The following is a 2484-nucleotide window of genomic DNA, read 5'->3' as shown; positions in this document are numbered from 1 at the left end:
CAGGAGTAGCTATACTTATAGCAGATAAAATAAACTGTAAGTCAAGAACAACTTTTTTAAAAGATAAGGAAGGCCATCACGTAATCATAAAGAGATCCTTCCAAGAAGAGAATAGAACAATTCTAAATATATATGCACTAAACACTGGAGAACCTAGACTCATAAAACAAATATTACTACATCTAACAAGAAAGATAGACTCCAATACAATAATAGTAGGGGACTTCAACATCCCAACCTCAGCATGAGACAGATCATCTACATAGAAAATCAAGAAAGAAACATTGGATTTAAACAGAATTTTACACCAAATAAAGCTAACAGATATTTATAGAGCATTCTATCTAACACTACAGAATGTACACTCCTTTCATGAACACATGGAACGTTTTCAGGGAGAGAGCCTATGTTAAGCCACAAAACAAGTCTGAACAAATTTTCAAAAATTGAAATCATTAAATATCTTCTCTGGCCACAATGGAATAAAACTAGAAATATACACCAAGAGAAATGTTGGCAACAAGACCAATACATGGAAATTAAACAACATGCTCCTGAATAACCATTGAGTCAACAGAGAAATTAAGATGTAAATTAAAAAGTTTCTTGAAACAAATGAAAATGGAAACACAACATACCAAAACCTGTGGGATACAGCTAAACAGGGCTAAAAGGGAGGTTTATAGGAATAAATACCTACCTAAGAAAAGTAGAAACATTACAAATTAACAATATAACAATGAACCTCAAGGAACTGGAAAAGCAAGAAAAAAACACATCAAAAATTAGCAGAAAAGAAATAATAAAGATCATAGTAGAACTAAATAAAGACTTTTAAAAACCATGTAAATGATCAACAAAGTGAAAAGTTTGTTCTTCAAAAACATAAACAAAATTGATAAACCACTAGCTAAACAAACCTAGAAAAAAAGAGAGAAAATTTGTTAAGAATAAAAGTTCCTCTTCAAAGTTTTCCTTTTTGGTTTAGAATGATAAGTGTTAAGAAGATAGTTCCTCTTAAAAGCTTCCTTTAAGTTTCCCTTGCTCTTCATACTAACAAATCTTCTATTTTACTAATGATTCTTTATTGTGCCCCCAAGGAGTTGTTACATACAGTAAAGAAATAAACACATTCTATGTTCTTGTACTTGAACCAAGGCCTAACTCCTTTGTCCCCTAGTCTGCCTGGATCTGCCTGGACATGCCCAGACATGTCCCAGCTCGCAGATTATGCTCTTTCCTTATTTGGAAATATTATTGTCTTCCTGGTTTCCCATAAGTGACCCCCTCCTTTCCTTTGTTCCCCATTGCACCTTTACCTTATTTGGGAAAGTTTAAGTTTTTAGCCAACTGGGATCAGTTTAGATTGTGTGGTCCAGTTCCAGCCAATGGAGACAGGACACAATAGTAGAAACAACTTGCGTTAGGAATAAAAACCCCTGTTTTCCTTTGTTCTGGGTGCTCTCATGGCAATCAGGCTTATGGGTAGCACCCTTCTGCAGAAGTAAAAATTGCCTTGCTGAGAAATCCTTTGTTCAAGTGTTTGTTTTCTTTGTGACTCCGAGCTTTATTTCTAACAATTTTCTGGGGGCTCATCCACTATTCCCATTCTTCTTTGGGAAGGGGTCTTTGGTCACCCCATCTAGGGGAGGTGCACCCCACTGCCCCACTGCAGTGGCCCCAGGGACGGGAGACTGAGACTACCCATTGTGACGAATAAATCCAGGCTCTCAGCAATGTGGAAGGAGAAGGCCTGCAAGTACCGCAATGACCAGGTAACTGTGCACAGACTGAGGTAAAAAAAGTCACAAGGGCAACAGTATTTCCTTGGTGGTCGGGATATTCTGGAGGTTAAAGGGTGTGAAAGGTAACAAGCACTACTGCTGTGCAGAGTGAGTGAGTCCAATCTGTGGTTCTGTGGTCACCTCATACGGCTTATGGTGGCCCTCTTGTAGGGATCCTGACATTGGGGTTTATACAGTCCCGCTGATGCTAAGGGGAGCCTAATTTCCTCTGGGAAAGCAGCCAGAGTGGACGAAGCAGAAGGAGAAGATTGCAAGGAACCTCCAGGATAGGGGTTAAACCTCCAGGGAAGGATAGGTGAAAAATCTCTAGTTCAAGGGACTGAGCCTAACCAGTATTCAACATGGGAAATACCCTGAGTAAGACAGAAGGTAAAAAGGAAAAGGCAGACAGTGAAATCACCTCTGATAGTCCTTTAGGACTCATGTTAAAATATTGGAAGTATACGAGAGGACTAAACATAAGAAAAAGCAACAGATGATAAAGTATTATTGTTTCATTTGGACCAAGGAACCTATTCTAAAGCCTTCAGTTTTCTGGCCAAAATTCGGGTCAAATGAGGATTGGACTGCCAGCTTTTAATACAATATGTAAATGATAAAAGTCCTGTTTCCCAGGAGGAAATACATTATGCTCTGTGTTGGTGGCAAAGGCCCATCCTCCTTTGTCATCTAAAAACTA

The 2484-nt window shown here is 38.5% G+C and overlaps 1 annotated feature.

Moving 5' to 3' along the window:
* Positions 862 to 2061: an enhancer, noted in NCBI's record as "MED14-independent group 3 enhancer chr6:31304266-31305465 (GRCh37/hg19 assembly coordinates)". NCBI's record gives its function as "activates an origin of replication core promoter dependent on BRD2, BRD4, P300/CBP and CDK7 cofactors, and independent of MED14, by STARR-seq in HCT116 cells {active_cell/tissue: HCT116}" and the evidence as "EXISTENCE:reporter gene assay evidence [ECO:0000049][PMID:35650434]".

The sequence above is a fragment of the Homo sapiens genome, chromosome 6 (assembly GCF_000001405.40).
Source record: "Homo sapiens chromosome 6, GRCh38.p14 Primary Assembly".
Taxonomy (NCBI): Eukaryota; Metazoa; Chordata; class Mammalia; order Primates; family Hominidae; genus Homo; species Homo sapiens.
This window is presented reverse-complemented; position numbering and strand designations above follow the sequence as displayed.